We start from the raw sequence: 25662 nt of genomic DNA, 5'->3' as shown, positions 1-25662 counted from the left end.
TTATCTTCCTCCTCATACTTTTTAAAAGATTTTTTCATTGTTACACCTCTGTGTTCCTGCAGAAATACTTAGTCTTCATTTTCAATTAAAGCCTGCCATTCCTTCATCCTTATACCCATTCACTCATTTAACAACATTGAGCTTTTCTATTGTGAGGCACTATACCTTTCGAGTACATAATGTGAACAGGATATGATTCCTCCCTTGAAAGTGTAGTAAGAGAGATAGCTCTTATCAGACTATTAAAGTATTTTTAAATAGTTTAAAAGTGATAGTTTGACAGTGAGTTAATGTAAATGAATGTAAGTGCATTCACATGGTGGTAGTCATAGTGTCACTATAAAAAAATGAATACAGTCATAGAAATGGAGGTTACAGAAGGCTTTAAAAATGGAAATACTTGAGGTGAGTCATGAAGAATGATGAGGAGTTTGCCATTTTGCCAGAGAGGCATGGCTGGGTAAGTATCTCAGGCAGATAAAACAGCAGAGATAAAGTCAGTGAAATACTGAATTGTATAAAAAGTTGCATTAAAAAAGGATTGCATTTTTACTTCTGCTTCCTACAATGTAGATGAGAAGTACTTCACCTACTGCATCTTCTATGTGAAACTAAAACTTTGAAATTATATATAAAATAAACAAGAAATATTAAATGGTGGGGAGAAGAAAGCAGATGAGTGAGGGAGCTTGGAACCTGAGGAATGACATAAGAATGAGTCCATGGTGTATTATTCTGTTCTCACACTGCTATAAAGACATACTCAAGACCAGTTAATTTATTAATGAAAAGAGGTTTAATCAGCTCATGGTTCTGTGTGCTACACAGTCTTCTTCTTTTGAGGAGGCCTTAGGAAACACTATTATGGTGGAAGGTAAAGAAGAAGCCTGCGTATTTTCACATGGCCATCTGGAGAGAAAGGGAGCAGGAGTTTTAAACAGCGGATCTTGGGAGAACTCTATCACAAGATAGCACTAAGGGGATGGTGCTAAATCATTGGAAACCACCCCCATGATGCAATCACCTCTCACCACACCTCACCTCCAACATTGAGACTTACAATTCTACAGGAGATTTGGGTGAGGATACAGAGCCAAATATTATCGATTGGTTTTGTTTATCATATATTCTGTAGCTGGAGAAGGCAGAATCCTGGAATATAAATGTGAGCAACTACAACAAAAAAGCATGCTCTTTTGAACAAACAGAGAGAGAAAGAAAGAAAAGAATAGTTTCTATAGCAAGACAGAAAGCTTTTAGACAATAATCTGTGTATTCAAGCCAAATACCACATGAAGGGCTGTGGTTATACCTCCAAATATACCAACAAAGGACAAGTAAGACGCTTAAACTTCCATCCCCATAGACTATAACAATGCACCCCGAACCCACTACTGGGGGTTGGGATAGTGCCAATGAACATTGAGTAGGATGCCAGGACTTAGATCCTCATTGGGCACTAATGAGCACCCCCAGATCCCTGAAATGTCAGTGGAGACCTTGTGAGGAATCTGAACTTACACTCTCATTCCACATTAGAGAGGCAACTTCCCTTTTCCTGTGTAGTGATATAACAGGAGGCCTAAACATAAAACTTTCATTATTCAGCAGTAATGAGTTTCCCTGTCCCCGAACTCCATGTCAATGGAAGCCATGTATGGGGCAAAAAAATGGATATGTTTGCTCCTCCCAGCCAGGGTGTTATCAGTGGAGGCCCACTGGGGAGCTGGAACTTTCACTTCCATTAAGCAGAAAAGGGGTGCCCCTCCCTTCAAGAGTTAACAGAGGCTGAATAAGGTACCTGGATCTTGACTCTCACCTGGCAGTAACTAGTGAGTACCACCATTTTCTTTTTGGAGAAGTGTCGGAAGAACAAAGCTAAAACAAAATGTTTAAGTAAGATTCAGAATGTCATAGTGTAATAACCAATATATCCAGTTTCCTATCAGAAATCATTTTTTATACCAAGGAGCAGGAAAATCTCAAATTGAATGAAAAATGAGAACCAACAGACACCAACACTGAGATTACAGACATATTAGACATATCTGACAAGGATTTTAGTGGAGCCATCACAAAAAACTTCAATGAGTAATTACAAAAACACTTGAAATAAGGAGTCTCTGAAAAGGAGTGGAAAGTCTCAGTAGATAAACATAAGATGTAAACAATAATCAAGTATAAATTTTAGAACTGAAAATTACAATAACCAATACAATAACCTTAGCTGATGGGCTCAACAGCAGAATGGACAGAGAAGAAATAGTCCACAAAAATGAAGATAATAATAATTGAAAACTATGAGAAGAAAGAAAATGAAGTCTCACTGGCCCGTCATACTATAAAAAGAGAGTTAACTTTTGTGCCATTACAATTCCAGAAGGTGAGAAGAGAGAGAGGAGAACTGAAAATTTTCACAGACATAATAGCTGAAAATTTCTGAAGTCTCACTGGCCTGTCATAGTATAAAAAGAGAGCTAACTTTTGTGGTCCATTACAATTCTGGAAGTTGAGAAGAGAGAAAGGAGAACTGAAAATTTTCACAGACATAATAGCTGAAAATTTCTGAAATTAGGCAATAATGTAAGCTTACAGATGAAAGAATAAGAGGAAAAGCAAAACAAGATAAACTTTGAAATATCCAGGCCAAGAAATGTCATAAATAAACTTCAGAAAACTAAATCATACATAGTGTATTCTCCAATCATAATGAATAAAACTAGGAATAACAAAGACAAGGGAAAAATATCCAACGGTTGAAAAGAAAACAACATCACACTTGTAAATAATACTAGATCAAAGAGGGAGTCTCAAGGGAAATAAAATTTAACTGAGTAAAAATGATAATCTAATATCAAATTTGAAAAGATGAAACTCATTGTTGAGGGAAAGTTATAACACTAATTTCTCATATTAGGAAAGTAGGAAAGTGTCAAATCAGTAGTCTAAGGACTTAAGGAACTAGAAAAAGCAGAGCAAAATAAATTCAAACCAAGTGGAACGAAGTAAATAAGACGAGAAAATTAAACAATGTGATTGGAAACAGAAAAATGATAGAAAAAATTAACAGAAGAAACATCTGGAACTTGAAAAAGATCAATGAAATTGACAAACCTCTAGCAAGACTGACAAAGAAAATAAAAGAAGACACAAATTACCAGTTTTAGGAATGAAAGAGAAAATACTATTACAGACCTTGCAGACATCCAAAGCATACTAAGGGGGAATACTAGAAACAACTTTACACACATAAATTTGACAACTTAGAACAAGTGGACCAATTCCTCAAAAAATGCAATCTGCCATAACTCACCCAAGAGGAAATTGATCATATCAATAGGCTCAAAAACTATTAAGGTAATTCAATTTATTATTTTTAAACAATCAAACAATAAATTTCCAGGGCCAGATGAATTCACTGGAGAATGCTACCATGTTTTTAAAGAAGAATTAATGCTAATTCTATACAAGCTCTTCCAGAATATACAAGAAGGGAAAACTTCTCAATTTTATAAAGCCAATAATACCTTATTACCAAAACTAGACAGACACAGTACAAAAAGGAAAAAAAAAGTACAGATCAGTATTCCTAATAAATATAAATGCAAAAATTCTTTTAAAAATTAGCAAATGAAAGTCTGCATATAGATAAACAATTATACATCATGACTAAGTGGAGTTTATGCTGAGGATCAAAAGCTAGTTCAGTATTCAAAAATCAATAAATATAATTCACCATTAACAACAGCCTACAGAAGAAAAACTACATGATCATAATAATTGGTGCTGAAAATGACTTTGATAAGGGAAAGCAAATGGACAGAGATTGATTCACCGTCAATTCGTGATAAAAGCTCTCAGAAAAATAGAAATCAAAGGGACCCTTTCCAAGAAAAAATATCCATTGGATACTATTCTTTGTTGTTTTGTTGTTGTTGTTTTGAGACAGAGTCTCACTCTATTGTCAGGCTGAGTGCAGTGGCATGATCTCGGCTCATTGCAACCTCTGACTTACTGGCTCAAGCGATTCTCCTGCCTCAGACTCCCAAATAGCTGGGATTACAGGCATGCGCCACCATGCCCAACTAATTTTTGTGTCTTTATTAGAGACAGGGTTTCACCATGTTGGCCAGGCTGGTCTCAATCTCCTGACCTCGTGATCCGCCCGCCTCGGCCTCCCAAAGTGCTGGGATAACAGGCATGAGCCACTGCAAGTGGCCCATCGGGCACTATTCTTATTGCTCAGGTGACAAAACTATCTGAACACCAAGCCCCCATGACACGTGGTTTATCTATACAACGAAACTGCACAAGTACCCCTGAAAATAAAAGTTTTTTATTATTGTTGTTGTTGTTCTTTCTTTTTTTAACATCTACAAAAAGCCTACAGCTAACATTATACTTAATGGGGGAGACTACAGAATGTTTTCTGTCTAATATCAAGAACAGGGCAAGGATATCTGTTCTCAACACTCTTATTTGATATGGCACTAGAAACTACCGAATGTAACAAGAATTTTTTTTTTTTTTGTAGTGGAGAAGGGGGCATATAGACTAGAACAAAATAAAAATGTTCTTATTTGCAGATGACATAATTGTCTATGTAGAAACTCCGAAGGAATGTACCCCCCCACAAATCCTAAAATTAAAAAGTGAATTCAGGGACATCACAGAATACAAGATAAATATTTATTTAAACTGTCTTTACAATGACCACATATATATATCAAAATTAAACATACAATAGTCTTTAGATCTGCTCAAGAAAAGAGAAATAGTTTGGTATAAATCTAGCTAAACATTAGAGAACTTTTAGGCTGAAAACTACAAAAAAGTGATGAAAAAATCTAAAGTTAAATGAATGGAACATATAGTTAATGAGTTGAAAAATTCAACATTGTAAATACAACAATTATTTCCAAAGTGATATACAGACTTAAGGCAATTTTTGTCAACATTGTAGCACAATTTTTGGAAACACTGAGATTATTCTAAAATTTATATAGAATTTAGTTCTTAGTTTTACATAGAAATACCTGAGAACTCAAAACCATTTTAAAAAGAAAAATAAAGGGGGACAAATTACTGTAACAAATTTAAAGATATTATATAGGCTACAGTGATCAAGGCTGCACGATATTGGTGAAGTAACACATTTATGTAGAACATCTTTTATGTCTTCAACAATGTTTTATAGTTTTCACTTTGAAAGTCTAACTTTCTTGGTTATTTATTTCAAGGTGTTTTATTCTTTTAGATGCTTCTATAAATTGAATTATGTCTTAATTACATTTTAGATTGTTCATTGTAGGGGTATAAAGACATAATCAATGTTTGTGTGTTTATCATGTACCCTGGAACTTTGCTGAATTATTTGTTAGCTTTAGTAATTTTCTTGTGGATTCTTTGGGATTTTCTATATATAGAATTTTGTCATCTGTGAATAGAGATACATTTATTTCTTACTTTCCGATGTTGATGCTTTTTACTTTTTTATGTTACATGAGAGTTTTTTTTTTTTTGCTTTGTTTTTTGATAGATATCTTTTATCAGATTGAATAAGCTTTCTTGTATATTCCTACTTGCCTGACTATTTTTATCATGAAGGGGAACTTTATTTTGTCAAATGCTTTTTGTGTATGCATTGAGGTAAACTTGTTGTTTTTACTCTATATGCTGTATTACACTAATTGATTTTTGTATGTTAAATCAATTGTCCATGAGGTAAATCCCACTTGCATGTGGTGGACAAACATATTTATATGTTGCTGGATTTGGTTTCCTATTACGTTGTAGATTATTGTATCTATATTCTTAGAGATATTGCTGTGCAGTTTTCTTTTTTGTGATGTCTTTATCTGGTTTTGGTATAATGTTATAACACTAGCTTCACAGAATGAAGGAAGGGCTCACTCTTTTTTTGGCAGAATTAGTAAAGGATTGATGTTAATTCTACATTAAATGTTTGGCAGAATTGGCCTGTGAAACCACACAGGCCTAAGCTTTTCTCTGTAGAAAGTTATAAAATGATAAATTTAGACTTTTTACTTGTTCCAGATGTATTCATTTTTTCTATTTCCACGTGGTTTAATTTCAGTAGTTTGTGCCTGTTTAGGAATGTGTCAATTTTATATACGCTATCTATTTTTTGACATGTAGTTGTTAATAGCATTCTTTTAAAATCTTTTTCATTTCTGTGAGGTCTATGGTAGTAATCTCTACAGTGCTAATAACCCCTATATTGTTCTTTATTTTAGCAACTTGAAGCTTCTCTCTTTTTTCTTGGTTAGCCTATAAACAGGTTGTCAATTTTTTTGATCTGTTCAAAAAAATCTAACTTCTGATTTACTTAAATATTTCTATGTCACTTATTTTAACTTTAAACTTTATTATTTTGTTCCTCTTTTTGATTTTTGGTTGGGTTTGCTCTTCTAGTTCTTTAAAGAACAAATTTAAGGCAGTGATTTAAGATTTTTTCTTTTTAATATATGTGTTTATAGATATAAATTGCTCTGCCTTAGCTACATCCTATAATTTTGTATGTGGTTTTATTTTATCGATCTCCAGTTCCTTTTTTTCTCTTTTTTTTAAATCATACTTTAAGTTCTAGGGTACATATGCAGAATGTGCAGGTTTGTTACATAGGTATACATGTGCCATGGTGGTTTGGGCACCCATCAACTCGTCGTTTACATTAGGTATTTCTCCTAATGTTATCCCTCCCCCAGGCCCCCACCCCACAACAGGCCTCGGTGATGTTCCCTGCCCTGTGTCCAAGTGTTCTCATTGTTAAATTCCCACCTATGAGTGAGAACATGCAGTGTTTGGTTTTCTGTCCTTGTGATAGTTTGCTGAGAATGATGGTTTCCAGTTTCATCCATGTCCCCGCAAAGGACATGAACTCATTGTTTTTATGGCTGCATGGTATTCCATGGTGTATATGTGCCACATTTTCTTAATCCAGTCTATCATTGATGGACATTTGGGTTGGATCCAAGTCTTTGCAATTGTGAATAGTGTCACAATAAACATATGTGTGCATGTGTCTTTATAGTAGCATGATTTATAATCTTTTGGGTATATACCCAGTAATTGGATCCCTGGGTCAAATGGTATTTCTAATTCTAGATCCTTGAGGAATCGCCACACTGTCTTCCACAATGGTTGAACTAATTTACACTCTCACCAATAGTGTAAAAGCATTCCTATTTCTCCACATCCTCTCCAGCATCTGTTGTTTTCTGACTTTTTAATGATCGCCATTCTAATTGGTGTGAGATGGTAGCTCATTGTGGTTTTGATTTGCATTTCTCTGATGACCAGTGATGATGAGCATTTTTTCATGTGTCTGTTGGCTGCATAAATGTCTTCTTTTGAGAAGTGTCTGTTCATATCCTGTGCCCACTTTTTGATGGGGTTGTTTGATTTTTTCTTGTAAATTTGTTTAAGTTCTTTGTAGATTCTGGATATTAGCCCTTTGTCAGATGTGTAGATTGCAAAAATTTTCTCCCATTCTGTAGGTTGCCTCTTCACTCTGTTGGTAGTTTCTTTTGCTGTGCAGAAGCTCTTTACTTTAATTAGATCCCATTGGTCTATTTTGGCTTTTGTTGCCATTGTTTTTGGTGTTTTAATCATGAAGTCCTTGCCCATGCCTGTGTCCTGAAAGGTATTGCCTAGGTTTCCTTCTAGGGTTTTTATGGTTTTAGGTCTAATATTTAAGTCTTTAACCCATCTCGAATTAATTTTTGTATAAGGTGTAAGGAAGGGATCCAGTTTCAGCTTTCTACATATGGCTAGTCAGTTTTCCCAGCACCATTTATTAAATAGGGAATCCTTTCCCCATTTCTTGTTTTTGTCAGGTTTGTCAAAGATCAGATGGTTGTAGATGTGTGGTGTTATTTCTGAGGCCTCTGTGCTGATCCATTGGTCTATATATCTGTTTTGGTACCAGTACCATGCTGTTTTGGTTACTGTGGCCTTGTAGTATAATTTGAAGTCAGGTAGCATGATGCCTCCAGCTTTGTTCCTTGTGCTTAGGATTGCTTTGGCAATGTGGGCTCTTTTTTCGTTCCATATGAACTTTAAAGTAGTGTTTTCCAATTCTGTGAAGAAAGACATTGTTAGCTTGATGGGAATGGCATTGAATCTATAAATAACCTTGGGGAGTATGGCCATTTTCACGATATTGATTCTTCCTATCCATGAGCATGGAATGTTCTTCCATTTGTTTGTGACCCCTTTTATTTCCTTGAGGAAGAGGTTTGTAGTTCTCCATGAAGAGTTCCTTCACATCCCTTGTAAGTTGGATTCTTTGGCATTTTTTCTCTTTGTAGCAATTGTGAATGAGAGTTCACTCATGATTTGGCTCTCTGTCTGTTATTGGTATATAGGAATGCTTGTGATTTTTCCACATTGACTTCGTATCCTGAGACATTGCTGAAGTTACTTATCAGCTTAAAGAGATTTTGGGCTGAGACTATGAGGTTTTCTAAATATACAATCATGTCATCTGCAAGCAGAGACAATTTGACTTCCTCTTTTCCTAATTGAATACCCTTTCTTTCTCTTGCCTGATTGCCCTGGCCAGCACTTCCAACACTGTGTTGAATAGGAGTTGTGAGAGAGGGCACCCCTGTCTTGTGCCAGTTTTCAAAGGGAATGCTTCCAGGTTTTGCCCATTCAATATGATATTGGCTGTGGGTTTGTCATAAATAGCTGGTATTATTTTCAGATACGTTCCATCAATACCTAGTTTATTGAAAGTTTTTTGCATGAAGGGCTGTTGAATTTTGTCAAAGGCCTTTTCTGCATCTATTGAGATAATCATGTGGTTTTTATCTTTGGTTCTGTTTATATGCTGGATTACACTTATTGATTTGCGTATGTTGAACCAGCCTTGCATCCCAGGGATGAAGCCGACTCTATCATGGTGGATAAGCTTTTTGATGTGCTGCTGGCTTCTGTTTGCCAGTATTTTATTAAGGATTTTTGCATCGATGTTCTTCGGGGATGTTGGTCTAAAATTCTCTTTTTTTGTTGTGTCTCTGCCAGGTTTTGGTATCAGGATGTTGCTGGCCTCATAAAATGAGTTAGGGAGGATTCCATCTTTTTCTATTGATTGGAATAGTTTCAGAAGGAATGGTACCAACTCCTCTTTGTACCTTTGGTAGAATTCAGCTGTAAATCCATCTGGTCCTGGACTTTTTTTGGTTGGTATGCTCTTAATTATTGCCTGAATTTCAGAGCGTGTTATTGGTCTATTCAGAGATTCAGCTTCTTCCTGGTTTATTCTTAGATGGGTATATGTGTCCAGGAATTTATCCATTTTTTCTATATTTTCTAGCTTATTTGTGTAGAGGTGTTTATAGTATTCTCCAACGGTAGTTTGTATTTCTGTGGGATCGGTGGTGATATCCCCTTTATCATTTTTTAAGGCATCTATTTGATCCTCTCTATTTTCTTCTTTATTAGTCTTGCTAGCAGTCTATCAATTTTGTTGATCCTTTCAAAAAACCAGTTCCTGGATTCATTGATTTTTTGAAGGTTTTTTTTGTGTCTCTATCTCCTTCAGTTCTGCTCTGATCTTAGTTATTTCTTGCCTTCTGCTAGAGTTTGAATTTGTTTGCTTTTGCTTCTCTAGTTCTTTTCATTGTGATGTTAGGGTGTGAATTTTAGATCTTTCCTGCTTTCCCTTGTGGTCATTTAGTGCTATAAATTTCCCTCTACACACCGCAGATTCTGGTATGTTGTGTCTTTGTTCTCATTGGTTTTAAAGAACATCTTTATTTCTGCCTTCATTTCATTATGTACTCAGTAGTCATTCAGGAGCAGGTTGTTCAGTTTCCATGTAGTTGAGTGGTTTTGAGTGGGTTTCTTAATCCTGAGTTCTAGTTTGATTGCACTGTGGTCTGAGAGACAGTTGGTTATAATTTCTGTTCTTTTACATTTGCTGGGGAGTGCTTTACTTCCAACTATGTGGTCAATTTTGGAATAAGTGTGATGTGGTGCTGAGAAGAATGTATATTCTGTTGATTTGTGGTGGAGAGTTCTGTAGATGTCTATTAGGTCCGCTTGGTGCAGAGCTGAGTTCAATTCCTGGATAGCCTTGTTAACTTTCTGTCTCGTTGATCTAATGTTGACAGTGGGGTGTTAAAGTCTCCCATTATTATTGTGTGGGAGTCTAAGCCTCTTTGTAGGTCTCTAAGGACTTGCTTTATGAATCTGGGTGCTCCTGTATTGGGTGCATATATATTTAGGATAGTTAGCACTTCTTGTTGAATTGATCCCTTTACCATTATGTAATGGCCTTCTTTGTCTCTTTTGATCTTTGTTGGTTTAAAGTCTGTTTTATCAGAAACTGGGATTGCAACCCATGCTTTTTTTTGCTTTCCATTTTCTTGGTAGATCTCCCTTCATCCCTTGATTTTGAGCCTGTGTGTGTCTCTTCACATAAGATGGGTCCCCTGAATACAGCACACTGATGGGTCTTGACTCATTATCCAATTTGCCAGTCTTCCAATTTGCCAGTCTGTGTCTTTTAATTGGGGCATTTAGCCCATTTACATTTAAGGTTAATATTGTTATGTGTGAGTTTGATCCTGTCATTATGATTTTGGCTAGTTATTTTGCCCATTAATTGATGCAGTTTCTTCATAGCATTGATGGTCTTTACAATTTGGCGTGTTTTTGCCATCACTGGTACTGATTGTTCCTTTCCATGTCTAGTGTTTCCTTCTGGAGCTCTTGTAAGGCAGGCCTGGGGTGACAAAATCTCTCAGCATTTTCTTGTCTGTAAAGGATTTTATTTCTCCTTCACTTATGAAGCTTAGTTTGGCTGGATATGAAATTCTGGGTTGAAAATTCTTTTCTTTAAGAATGTTGAATATTGGCCCCCAGTCTCTTCTGGCTTGGAGAGTTTTTGCTGAGATATCCACTGTTAATCTGATGGGCTTCCCTTTCTGGGTAACCCAAACTTTCTCTCTGGCTGCCCTTAGCATTTTTTCCTTCATTTCCACCTTGGTGAATCTGACAATTATGTGTCTTGGGGTTGCTCTTCTCGAGGAGAATCTTTGTGGTGTTCTCTGTATTTCCTGAATTTGAATGTTGGCCTGCCTTGCTAGGTTGGGGAAGTTCTCCTGGATAGTATTCTGCAGAGTGTTTTCCAACTTGGTTCCATTCTCCCTGTCACTTTCAGGTACACCAGTCAAATGTAGATTTGGTCTTTTCACATAGTCCCATATTTCTTGGAGGCTTTGTTCCTTTCTTTTTACTCTTTTTTCTCTAAACTTTTCTTCTCACTTTATTTCATTAATTTGATTTTCAATCACTGATACCCTTTCTTCCACTTGATCACATTGGCTATAGAAGCTTGTGCATGGATCACAAATTCTTGTGCCATGGTTTTCAGCTCCATCAGGTCATTTAAGGTCTTCTCTACACTGTTTGTTCTAGTTAGCCATTCATCTAATCTTTTTTCAAGGTTTTTATCTTCCTTGCAATGGGTTCGAAACATCCTCCTTTAGCTTGGAGAAGTTTGTTATTACTGACTTTCTGAAGCCTACTTCTGTCAACTTGTCAATGTCATTCTCTGTCCAGTTTTGTTCCATTGCTGGCAAGGAGCTGCGATCCTTTGGAGGAGAAGAGGCGCTCTGGTTTTTAGAATTTTCAGCTTTTCTACTGTAGTTTCTCCCCATCTTTATTGTTTTAGCTACCTTTGGTCTTTTTGATGTTAGTGACCTACAGATGGGGTTTTGGTGTGGATGTCCCTTTTGTTGATGTTGATGCTATTCTTTTCTGTTTGTTAGTTTTCCTTCTAACAGTCAGGTCCCTCAGCTGCCAGTCTGTTGGAGTTTGCTGGGGTTCCACTCCAGACCCTGTTTGCCTGGGCATCATCAGCGGAAGCTGCAGAACAGCAAATATTGCAGAACAGCAAATATTACTCCCTGATTCTTCCTCTGGAAGCTTTGTCCCAGAGGGGCACTCGCCTGTATGAGGTGTAAGTCATCCCCTACTGGGAGGTGTCTCCCAGTTAGGCTACACAGGGATCAGGGACCCACTTGAGGAGGCAGTCTGTCCATTCTCAGAGCTCACGTACTGTGCTGGGAGAATGACTGCTCTTTTCAGAGCTGTTGGACAGGGACGTTTAAGTCTGCAGAAGATTCTGCTGCCTTTTGTTCAGCTATGCCCTGCCCCCACAGGTGGAGTCTACAGAGGCAGCAGGCCTAGCTGAGCTGCGGTGGGCTCTGCCCAGTTCTAGCTTCCAGGCAGCTTTGTTTACCTACTCAAGCCTCAGCAATGGCAGATGCCCCTCCCCCCACCAGGCTGTTGCCTCGCAGTTAGATCTCAGACTGCTGTGCTAGCAGTGAGTAAGGCTCTGTGGGTGTGGGACCCACTGAGCCAGGCATGGGATAGTAACTCCTGGTCTGCCATTTGCTAAGACCTTTGGAAAAGCGCAGTATTTGGAGGGGGGAGTATCCCATTTTTCCCAGGTACAGTCTGTCATGGCTTCCCTTGGCTAGGAAAGGGAAATCCTCTGACCCCTAGTGCTTCTTGGGTGAGGCGATGCCCCGCCCTGTTTCAGCTTGCCCTCCATGGCCTGCACCCACTGTCTAACCAGTCCCAGTGAAATGAACCAGGTACCTAAGTTGGAAATGCAGAAATCACCCGTCTTCTGCGTCGATCCTGCTGGGAGCTGCAGACTGGAGCTGTTCCTATTTGGCCATCTTGGAACCCCTCCCATCTCCAGTTAGTTTCTAAACTTCCTTTTAGTATTCTCTTTGACTCATCAGTTATTAAACCTTTTTTTTTTTTTTTTTTTTTTTTGAAGTCTCACTCTGTCTCCCAGACTGGAGTGCAGTGGCACGATCTTGGCTCACTGCAATCTCCACCTCCCGGGTTCAAGTGATTCTCCTGCCTCAGCCTCCCAAGTAGCTGGGACTAGAGGCATGCGCCACCACACCCAGCTAATTTTTGTACTTTTAGTAGACATGGGGTTTCACCATGTTGGCCAGGGTGGTCTCAAACTCCAGAACTCGTGATCTGCCCACCTCGGCCTCCCAAAGTGCTGGGATTACAGGCGTGAGCCACCGTACCTGGCCCAACTCATCAGTTATTTATGAGTATTTTGTTAATTTCCACTTATTTGTGATTTTCCTAAAATGTCCTTTTACTATTAATTTCAGATTTAATTCCAAAGTAACTGGAAAAATACTTTGCATGATTTCAATACTTTTGAATATATTTATGCTTGTTGATGGCCAGGTAATTTATAAAGAAAATTAAAAATTATGAAGAAAATAAAACTCAAGACCAGGTAATTTATAAAGAAAAAGAGATTTAATGGACTCACAGTTCCACATGGCTGTGGAGGCCTCACAATCATGGTGGAAGGCGAATGAGCAGCAAATCACATCATCTTACATGGCAGCAGGCAAGAGAGACCCTATGCAGGGGTACTTCCCTTTATAAAACCATCAGATTAGCCAGGTGTGGTGGGTCATGCCTGTAATCCCAGCACTTAGGGAGTCCAAGATGGGCAGATCACCTGAGATCAGGAGTTCAAGACTAGCCTGGCCAGCATGGTAAAACCCTGTAGCTACAAAAATTAGCCAGGCATGATGGCAGGTGCCTGTAATTGCAGCCACTTGGGAGGCTGAGGCAAGAGAATCACTTGAACCCAAGAGGCAAAGGTTGCAGTGAGCCGAGATCATACCATTACACTACAGCCTAGGTGACAGAGCGAGACTCAAAAAAAAAAAAAAAAAATCAGCTCTGTGAGACTAATTCACTGTCATGAGAATAGCACAAGAAAGAAAAACCTACCCCAATGGTTCACTTATCTCCCCTGCAGTCCCTCCCACAACACGTGGGAATTATAGGAGCTGCAATTCAAGATTAGATTTGGGTGAGGACACAGCCTAATCATATCAAGCACCTATTGAAAACAAAGTAGAAAGATTTTAAATAACCCAATGATACACTCCAAGGAATTAGAAAACCCAGAATAAACCAAATCCCAAATTAGTAGAAGGAAATAAATGATAAAGATGAGAGCAGAAATAAATGAAACTTAGACTAAAACAGTATGGAAAATCAGTGAAAAAAAAGTTAGTTTTTTAAAAGATAAACAAAATCAATGAATCTTTAATTAGGCTGAGAAAAAAAGAAAACCCAAATAAATCAGAGATGAAAAAGGAGACATAGCAACTGATATCACAAAAATACAAATCATTACAGACTATTATGAACAACTATATACCAATAAGTTGAAAAAACTAGAAGAAATGAATATGTTCCTGGACACATATTACCTACCAGGATTAAACCATGAAAAAATATAATATTTCATCCAACCAATAATGATTAATGAGATTGATGCTGTAATAAAAACTCTTCCATCAAAGAAAAGCCTCGGATCTGATGCCTTTACTACCAAGTTTTACCAAACATTTACAGGAGAACTAATACCAATTCTACTCAAACTATTTTTAAAAATTGAACAGGATAGAGTACTTCCAAACATATTTACAAGGCCAGCATTATCCTCATACAAAAATCAGACAAGAAGACAATAAGAAAAGAACTATAGGTCAATATCTTTGGTAAACATAGATGCAAAAATTTTAAAAAAATACCATGAGACCAAATTCAACAATCCATTAAAAAGATAATTCATTATGATGAAGTGGATTCATCCCACGGATGCAAGGATGTTTCAAAATATGCAAATCAATAAACATACATCACATTAACAAAACCAAGAATAGAAAGTATATGGTCATTTCTGTAGATGATGAAAAATCTTTTGATAAAACTCAACATTTCTTTATGATAAAAACCCTCAACAAACTGAGTATAGAAGGAACACACCTCAAAATAATGATAACCATATACAACAAACCTACAGCTAATATCTATTGAACAGGGTAAAATGGAAAGCTTGTCCCCTAAGATCTAGAATAAGAAAAGGATGCCCATTTTCACAACTTTTATTTTGCATAATACTGGAAATCCTAGCCAGAACAATTAATCAAGAGAAATAAAGGGTATCTAAATTGGAAAGAAAGAAGTCAAACTAGCTTTGTTCACAGATAACATTTATATTTAGCAAAACCTAAAGATGCCACCAAAAAAAACCTGTTAAAACTCATTAACAAACTCAGTAAAGTTTCAGGATAAAAAAATCAACATACAAGAATCAATAGCATTTGTATATGCCAACAGTGAACAATCTAAAAAGAAAGAGAGCAAATTAATTTACAACTGTTACAAATAATATAAAATAGCTAGGAATTAATTTACCTGAAGGAGTGAAAGATCTATACAAGCAAAACTATAAAACACAGGTGAAAGAAATTGAAGAAAACAAAAAATTATTGAAAGGTATTCCATACTCTTGAATTGAAAATATTAATATTATTAAATGACAATGCTACTCAAAGCAACTTATAGATTAAATCCAGTCTCTATCAAAATGCCAATGATGCTTTTCACAGAAATGGAAAAAAAGATTCTAAAATTTATGTGGAACCACGAAAGACCTAACTTGCCATAGAAATCCTGAGCAAAACAAAACCACCCAACTAAACTAGAGGGACATGCTAGTTCTTCAAAATATGCTACAAAGCAAAAGTAGCCAAATCAGTGTAGTAACAACATTAAAAACAGACAGAGGAATCAGTGGAACAAAATAGAAGACCCAGATATAAATCCATGCATTTACAGGAAACTCATTTCTGACAAAGACAACAAGAATATTTAGTGGGGAAAAGAGTCTTTTCAATAGATGATGCTGGGAAAACTGGATAACCATATGCAAAAGAATGAAACTAGACCCCTCTGCCTCACCCATATACAAAAGTCAAATCAAAATGGATTAAAGACTTGGATCTAAGACCTAAGACTATGAAACTACTAGAAGAAAATATTGAGGAAATGCTACGGGACATTGATGTAGGCAAAGATTTTTGTAAGACCTCAAAAGCAGAGGCAACCAAAGCAAAAATAGACGATTGGTATTACATCAATTACATCAAATTAGGAAGCTTCTGCAAATTAAAGGAAACAATCAACCAATTGAATAGACATCCCATAGAATGGGAGAAAATATTTGCCAAGTGTTCATCTGACAAGGGATTCATAATCAGAAAATATGATGAACTCAAACAACTCAATATCCAGAAAACAAACAATTTGATTTAAAAATGGGCAAAAGACTTCAATAGACATTCCTCAAAAGAAGACATACAAGTGGCCAGTGGGTATATGACAAAATGCTCGATATCACTTATCATCAGGAAAATGCAAATCAAAGTCACCTTGAGATATCATCTCACTCCAGTTAGAATCATTGTTATCAAAAAGACAGGGAGTAAAATATTTTGGCGAGGATGTGGAGGAAGAGGAGCCCAGTACACTATTGATGGGAACGTAAATTGGTACAATCACCATGGAGAATAGTTTGGAGGTTCCTCAAAAAACTAAAAATAGAACTATCATATGATCCAGCAATCCCACTACTGGGATTTAGCCAAAGGAAATACAATTGCTATGTCAAAGAGATAGCTGCACTCCCATGTTTGTTACAGCACTATTCCCCATAGTCAAGATATGGAATCAATCTAAGTGCCTATCAATAGATGAATGGTTTAAAGAGTGGTATATATTCATAATTAAGTATAATTAAGAAGTTAAAAAAAGAATAAAATCCTGTCATTTGCAGCAACATGGATGGAACTGGAGGGCATTATGTTAAGTGAAATAAGCCAAGCACAGAAAGACAAATATTGCACTTTCTCACTCATATGTGGGAGCTTAAAAAGTGGATCTAATGAGAATAGAAAGTAGATTGGTGGTTACCGGAAGCCAGGAAGTAGGGGATGAAGAGAGGTTGACTAATGGATAAAATATACAGTTTGAAAGAAGAAATAGAACATACAGTATGATAGATCAGTAGGGTGGCTATAGTTTACAATAATTGATTGTGTATTTCAAAATAGCTAGAAAAGAATAATTTGAGTGTTTCTACCGTAAAGAAAAAACAAATATTTAAGGTGATAAACATGCTAATTACACTGATTTGAGCTTTACAAATTGTGAATGTATTAAATTACCACATGTACTCTGAAAGCATTATATATCAATAAAAACAAATTTTGAAAAATTTAATTTAAAAACAGGGAGAAAAAAATTGAAGAAAATATGAACAGGTCTTTGGTGTCTCATGGGGAAATATCAAAAGGTCTGGCATACATGCATTTTGAATCTTAGAAGAAGGAGGAAGAAAATTGGGTAGAAAATATTTTCCAAGAAATAGTGGCCAAAGTTTCCCTAAATTTGGTAAAAGGTGGAAATGTACAGATGGAAGAAGTTAAATCAGCCTAAAAGAGGTAAATAGTAATAAAACTATACCTAAGTACACTAGAGTTTAACTTACCAGAGTAAAAGAAAAATAAGGAGAAAATCTTGAAAGCAGCTGAAAAACAATACAGTATACAACACATTATAGAATAAGAGTTTGTTTAAATGACCTCTGACTTATAATCGATAGAGCACAAGAGACAGTGAAATGACAGTTTTAAAGTACTGAAAAAAATATATAACAGTAAAGCTGTTTAAAAGAGTTTTCTTAGACATGTTAAATTGCCTTAAGGATTTCTATGAATCTCTTTTCTGGATAATTTGCAGACATCTCAGTACCCTTTCGAGTCTTTGAGTCCATTTCATGCAATAGATCTTCCGTGTTGTGATAATTGTTTTCCTTACTATTCTTACCTAAAAATGGCTAAAAATTAGTGTTCACTATGTGCTGGTTAGTGTTCTAAGGTTTCTGCTCCTCCCATCATGTTATTGAGTTAAATGCTGTAGTTAGCCGGGCGCCGTGGCTCACGCCTGTAATCCCAGCTCTTTGGGAGGCCGAGGCAGGCAGATCACCTGAGGTCAGGAGATCGTTTGAGACCAGCCTGACGAATATGGTGAAACCCCTGTCTCTACTGAAAATACAAAAATATTAGCCTGGCGTCGTGGCAAGCCCCTGTAGTCCCAGCTGCTTGGGAGGCTGAGGCAGGAGAATCGCTTGAACCCGGGAGGCGGAGGTTGCAGTGAGCCAAGGTAGCACCACTGTACTCCAGCCTGGGCAATAGAGTGAGACTCCATTAAAAAAAAAAGTGTTCTAGTTATCTCCATTTTAACAAACCAGAAACTGAAGAACAGAAAAGGTAGGCAACTGACCAAAGCTGTCCTCTGTTGAGAATTAGTGTCAAGATGAAACCCATCAGTCTGGTTTCAGAGCCCATACTCCACATGGCTGACTAGAAAGAAAGACATGGTAATTGTTTTCATATAATGTTCTGTTAAGCAACATTTCAGCAAGCAAAAAAACAAACAAGAAATCCTCCAATTTGCTTTTTTTTCTCAACTGATTTTTCTGGAAAAACAGCTTAGTCTTAAATTTCTCTTGCAGCATTCAAGTTCTAATAATACCACAGTGCATTAGTTGGTAGTTTATTGGTATTGAAAGCTCTAAAATGGTTGTTGCAGTGAATCAAAATACATACTCTTAAGACGTTCCTGTGAATTGATTACGTGTCTTCAGACCAAGAAAAATTTAATTTTATAGATTTATCTCAATTGTTAATATATTAGAAAAACAAAATGATAGATCAAGTACATATTGTGGTAAATATAATGCAAATGCTGCACATTCATGCTGCCCAACACATGGCTAAGGTTATATATAGTAAAATTATAAAGAAATATAGCAAGAAGATTCTATATATCAAAATTGTGTAACTCTTTGCCATATAAATACCAATTCTATTGTATATATTGTTATGTAAAGACATCTGGAAAGTTAGATTATTTAAATAGGTAAATACATATATCAATTATAAATGCACTTTTTTTTTTTTTTTGAGATGGAGTCTCACTCTGTTGCCCAGGCCTGGAGTGCAGTGGTGCAATCTTGGCTCACTGCAACCTCTGCCTTCTGGGTTCAAGCAATTCTCCTGCCTCAGCCTCCTGAGTTGCTGGAATTACAGACATGCACCACCACCCCCATATTTTTAATAAAGATGGGGTTTCACCATATTGGCCAGGCTGGTCTCAAACTCCTGACCTCAGGTGATTCACCCGCCTTGGCCTCCCAAAGTGCTGGGATTACAGGCGTGAGCCACTGCGCCGGGCCATAAATGCACTTATTTAATACATATTTATTAGCTACCACCACCACAATCTGTCCTTTAATTACTTAATATTTTTCCAAAGGATTGACCAGAAATGTACTAGTGTAAGTGGAGATACAGTCTGGTCACCTATCTAGAATCTTAATCTGTATACCATAACAAAAAATTGATCTTCTAAGGTTTTCTTTTCCTTTGTGGTGGTGTTCCTTCTATCTTTTTCAACTCTGACATAAATACTTAAGATTTCTAGATTGTTGCTTGCCTCACTTGATAATTTATAATCAGAATTAAGAAAAGTTATGAAAATTATTAAATAGATATGCAAGTGACCACATTTTTACTTCAATAATTATACATTTATTAGTTGTTTATTCTTTCCCAAATTATTACAGGTATTGGAACTATGACATTTGAGTCATTTCTTACACTTAATAATTATGAGTACTATTCTATGTGGCTTATTTTATAGCAGCATACTGTTTTGAAGTTATGAATGTGAATATGATATAGTTTAACAAAAGATATTCTGTACCGAAAGAAAAAAGTAATAGTTATAAAAGGCTTAAATGAACTCTTCTATTTCACTGTCATGCTTTGTTTAGTAGTTTCATGTTTTCAATAGCCTCGTGGGAGATTTATAAATAAGAGACCCAGTTTATCTAGAGACATAGAGTTCCCCTACATTTTCATGATTAATGTGTAGAGTCATCTTTACAATTCTCTGATATCCTGAGAGTCTAATTTTGTGTGAATTCATATCCTATGGACAGATTTTATATGTTTACTAGGTGTGGGGACCCTGGGTTTTCCATGTGCACTTGCTTTTAGTGCAGCCCAGAACCACTGGTTATCTCGGGATAACTTCTATTAAGTTGGGACACAGCCCTGATGCAGAGCCCATGGGTATTTTAGCTGTTCCCAACTAGGAATCTTATACTTTGAGCTTACCTTCTTTTCACATAGTTCAATAAAAACAAATTCCTTTTTGCTTAAGTTCAATTTTTTTTTAATAGCAAGTTTTGTATTTACTCTTTCTCAAATTCTTTCCCCAGCATTCCTTCCGGGATTACCTCACGGTTCCCAGGAGAAGAGGAGGAGAAGAATGAGCAATGGATGTGTTGTTGACTGTCCTCCCTTTTGGTAGGATCTCCTATACTGGATGCTATTTCCTGACTCACATCAGAGCAAAGGAAAGTAATCAAGTGACAGGACGGAAAGAGGAGGGGGATGGGACAAAAGGCTTGCAGGGAAGTGTCAGCCAGCAACTGACTGTAAGAGAAGAGTAATCCTCTGAATAACAGACAAACAAAAACAGAGAAAGAGAGAGAGGATTTGTATTGAGGAAGCTTCTTCTGTACTTTAAGATTCAAAAGGGAAAAAAAAACCAGAATAATTCACAATCATTCATTTCCTTAAATCAATTCAACATCCAAAAGAGTTTGCCTCCCAACTGATTATTTCAACTTTGAAATTGCCTTTATTACTATTTTTCTTTGATTTGGAAATATTTATTGAGTGTCTGTTATATGCCAGAAACTACTCTGAGTGGAGAAATGAACAAAGCAGAGAAATTCTCCACATTCATGCAGCTTAAATTCTAGCTGGAAAAGTATAGAATAAACAAACACATGACTGAAAAAAATGAGCATGTCAGATGATGTAAGTACTATGAAGAGAAATAAAGCATGTGAAGGGCATAGAGAATGAGGTGTTAGTGGGAAGTTAATTTCATTGAGGTAGTCAGGGAAACTGACTTGTCTCAAGAAAAATGCATGCTAATTGTAGAAAATTTTAACAAATAAAGGTGAACAAAATAAAAAACTGAAATATGATCTATTTCATGATCCAGAGATAGATAGCCTATGCCAACATTTTATGCTAGTTCTTTTCACAATATTTTTTAAACTGTGGTATGTTGTTTTATTGTTTGAAGTGTTTAATATATGCCTTCCAATAAGATGATTCTGTTTTTTCATTAATTGCCCTGTTACTTAAAGTTTCTAACTATGGGCAGAGAGCACTTTCTTGCTCCATTGTCAGGCTTGGCGACTGACCTGTTTTGACTAATAAAATATGAGCAGAAAAGATTCATGCTGGTTTTGAGCAGAAGCTTGAAGAGCCTTACTTGTTTCTACCAGCAATTCTGCATACTCGTCTACCAAGAGAGGAACATATCCCACATGTGGGCTCACTTTCCTACTGGGTTCTGAAATTAAAACCACCTTGACCAGTCATCAAACACAATTATTGCTACTCATAGAGATTGTGTTAATGTATGATAATCTAGTAAAAGATGAGTAAGATATATGCAAATATAATTTTCAGAAATGAAGTCATACAATACATAATGTTTTTCTGGGCATGGTGGTGGGCACCTATAATCCCAGCTACTCAGAAGGCTAAGGCAGGAAGATTACTTAAGCCTAGGAGTTTGATACCAGCCTGGGAAACATAGGATCTCCCACTCCCCCCAAAAAAACAAAACAAAAACAAAACCATAATGTTATATTTAGTTTAGTGGATTTTCTATATAAAAAATAGCATGACTAGTGCTATCTTCTTTACCAATTAATTTCCTTGTGTTTTAAATCATAAATAACATGTATTTTATAAAAGTTTTCAAACTTAACCTAAATGAGTGAAGTTAAAAGTGAAATTTCTTACACCTCTCTAAACTTGCCCAAACCTAGCCAGTCCCAGGGATAATATTAACAGTTTACAACATGTACTTCTGTGAGTATAGGAGCCGTCTCCTTTCTCTTTCCCTTACTTTGATACATACACACACATTTGTAAAATAGAATCATAGGATCATACATAATATTTTGGGAATGATGTGCTCATGTGTTTGTGTGTGGGTATTGTTTTACATCATGGGCATCTTTCCAAGTCGGTACAAATGTAGATGATAAACTGCTTTTCTTTTAGTTGTGACTTGGCATTCCATGGTCTGACTGTAACAATATTTCTTTTACTATTCTTGTAAATGTAGGGTGTATCTAAATTTTATAATTATGAACAAGTCTGAAAAAATATACTTTTATGTATACTTTTTACTAGTGTTAGGAAACATTCACAGAAATGGACAATAATTATATATTTTTCTACAATACTATTTTTTCTGTCTGTATATTATTTCACTGTGTATGTAATTTATTTAAAATGCCATATAAATGACCATCTATGTTATGGAATTTTCCCCCAGCATTTTACTAGTGTGTACAAAATGATATGGACATTCTTGTATTTAATTACAATGAACATCTACAATTATTTCATTAGTTGGCTGGGCGCAGTGGCTCATGCCTGTAATCCCAGCATTTTGGGAGGCCGAGGTGGGTGGATCACCTGAGGTCAGAAATTCGAGATCAGCCTGGCCAACCTGGTGAAACCCCATCTCTACTAAAAATACAAAAAAATAGCCTAGCTTGGTGGCGGGCACCTGTATTCCCAGCTGCTTGGGAGGCTGAGGCAGGAAAATCACTTGAACCCGATAGGTGGAGGTTGCAGTGAGCCAAGATCGTGCCATTGCACTCCAGCCTGATCAACAAGAATGAGACTCCCTCTCAAAAAAATAAAAAATAAAAATAATTTCATAAGTCTAACCTCAAAAGTCAGTTAACAACAATGTAGAATTCTAGAATTGTGATCAGTGTTGTCATTATTTTTTCTACTAGGTTATTACCATCAGCATTGGATGAGAGTAGCCATTTCTTCAAATACTCATCAACTCTAGTTATTGCCACTGATTAATGTTTGATATGATTAATTTTTGTATTAGCATAATTATGTTGTATTTTAAATATAGATGGTATACACATTATGATGGTACTTAGGTTCACCCAAGAAAAGAATTATAAAAGAAAAACAAAGGGAATACATTTTCTCATTGGAGGCTAGAAGTGTAGTGTACTTTCTTATATCTGCAGTGCTCAAAATTTCAGTTATCTTTTGCTGAGGGTTTGGCTCATTAAAAATACTTTTGCAGCCTTATGAAGATATAATTGATGTATAATAAACTGTACATATTTAACTATAAAATTTGATAAAGTTGTGACATTTGTACAACCCCAAGTTACTATTACCATAGTCAAAATAATAAATTCTTCTATCTCCAAGTTTCCTTTTGCCCTTTGAGATCCATCCCTCATGACATTTCCCACCAATTTCACAGGAAAACATTTATTTTCCTTCTCTCACTATAGATTGTTTTTCAATTTCTAGAATTATATATAAATTTAAGAATATATTTGCACTCTTTTTTAAAATCTGGTTTCTTACACTTGTCACTATTGTTTTAAGACCCATTTAAGTGGATGAATGTCCAATAATTTTTCTCGTTATTGTTAATATTCTACAGTTTGTTTAACTATTCATTGATTAATAGACATTTGGGCTGTTTTCAAGTTTGGCTATTACAAATAAAGTTGCTATTAATATTCTGTATGTGTCTTTCTGTTGATGTATGCTTTCATTTGTTTGGGGCAGATACCTAATGATTTGGATGATATGGTAGGCATGTGTTTAATTTTTATTTTAAATGCCAAAGTATTTTTCTGATTTGTTGTCTCATTTTACTTCCCCAACAGAAGCTGTATCCTTTGTCCCAGCCTCAGCTCTGGGGTCACGTTGATTTGTCACGGCAGCCCCACTGCATGTAAGTCAGAGCTCACACCACATGGGAATGGAGAGCCAAGTAGGAAAGTAAAAACGTCAAGATCAGCTGCAGCCCAGTTAAGAAGGCCTACCAAGTTCCTTTTGTTATTATCATGCTCCAAGCTAGTACTAGGCAACTCTCGAAAGAGTCTCACCTGAGACTTGATAGATCAACCTGGAGTAATAGGCTAGCCCCTGCTCTCAACTTACCTAATTTTGCTTGATGTAACCCTGTCTCCCCTGACCTGCAACAAACAGTGGAAACCTGGAGATGAAAATCCAGGAGGTGCAAGTCTAATGGCTTTTTGCTATCCTCCCTTTAACTCCTTCCTTTCCCCACCTCACCTACAGGCTGGAAAGAAGTGTTCATGGTACTTTACCCTATTCTAAAATAACGAGGTGACTGAAGGCCCTACTGTGTAAGAGGAAGCATTCTCTTCAAGCCCTATCACCAACCCTTTCTGATAGCACCCACTTCAGAGACAACCTATGGTGAGTTTGGTGTGCATGTTTCTGGATAATATTTTGTATTTTAACATAAACATATACATGAATAATACATATTTTATACAAGAATATTTAAAAATTGATATATTTCTAACATATGCAAAGATATAGGTTAGATTTTTTTCTGTTCTTCTAATAGTTACCAATAATAAACAGCCAAATTTAATTAATATACAGTAATAGTAATACATTCTAAAGTAAATCTGCATATACATTTCTTTTCTGAAGAAAGGGATCTTAACAAACTTTAATCTTTTTTGAACTCTCACATTTTGTCCCAAACAAATACATATTTGTCCCAAATATGTACACACATATTTTTTATTTTAGAGTCCTTTAATTAAGTTTATCAATATATTTTATGATCTTTTTCTCACCATTGTCTCAAGAATCCCACTTCTTTTGCCTGGAGTTATTTTTCTTTTTCATTTAATAACTTGTCGATGACAGTCCGTGGGTAGATTGAAGAACAAACACTTAAGACATATGTTAATTTTATTTAAGCTTTTTTTTAGACTTCTGCAAGAGAATACAATATTCTTAGCTATTGTTACAAATAACATAAATCATATTGGAATCTTTATAATACAAAGGAAAAGAAAAATGATAGCTCTTGTAAAAGAAATGCAGCCACACATATGTCTTAAACTCCAGTAATGTGGTTTTAATTTAAATTTCAGTGAAATCTGGAATATTTACAATAAATTTAATTAATGAACCAATGTTACATTAAAAATGAGCCACATATTCTGATTTATACTTTTCTAAATGTTTTATGATGTTAACAAACATAAATTTCACATTTATCTAGTAATAAAAAATAAAATGTTGAGAGTTCCTTTTTTATTGGAAACTTTTTTATTGTAGTAAAATATACATAATGCAAAACTTATTATTTTAATGTGTGTAGTTCAGTGGCATTGAGTACATTAACATCACCACTATCCATTTCCAGAATGTTTTCATCTTCCGCAGCGAGTTCTTATCATGAACATTAAATGTCAAGAAAACGTAGCACAGGAAGCTTGTTACTTTCAATCATGCAGAACACTTTCCATGTCTTAAGATCTGTTTTAACTTGATAAGTGGGAAGACAGAGTTTTGCTTAACACCCTGTGTTGTAAATATTCCCAATGTCTACCTTCTGTTAGTAGTGAAAAGAAATAATTCACAGCATAGTTTCTAGATCAATAGAAATGCTGTAGATCTTAATGATTTACACTGTAGCTTTTCTTTTTATTTAAAAGAGATTATTTGTTTAAAGAAGACTAACTTTGCTGTCACTTTTGTTTTCTTTGTATAGAGAGGTCTTATTTTA

The 25662-nt window shown here is 35.9% G+C and overlaps 1 long non-coding RNA gene across 1 annotated transcript in view; it reads left to right on the top strand.

The window, feature by feature from the left end:
* The window catches only part of LOC107985958 (uncharacterized), a 42302-nt gene extending 17265 nt beyond the window's left edge, over positions 1-25037 (top strand). Inside the window, exons 2-4 of the long non-coding RNA XR_001739762.1 lie at positions 20234-20321; positions 23771-23838; positions 24189-25037. This is a non-coding gene — a long non-coding RNA (uncharacterized LOC107985958). The remainder of the gene's footprint in view (positions 1-20233; positions 20322-23770; positions 23839-24188) is intronic.
* The last annotated feature ends 625 nt before the right edge of the window (positions 25038-25662 follow it).

The sequence above is a fragment of the Homo sapiens genome, chromosome 2, assembly GCF_000001405.40.
Source record: "Homo sapiens chromosome 2, GRCh38.p14 Primary Assembly".
Taxonomy (NCBI): domain Eukaryota; kingdom Metazoa; phylum Chordata; class Mammalia; order Primates; family Hominidae; genus Homo; species Homo sapiens.
The sequence above is the reverse complement of the archived record's forward strand: the minus strand, read 5'-3'. Positions and strand labels throughout refer to the sequence as shown.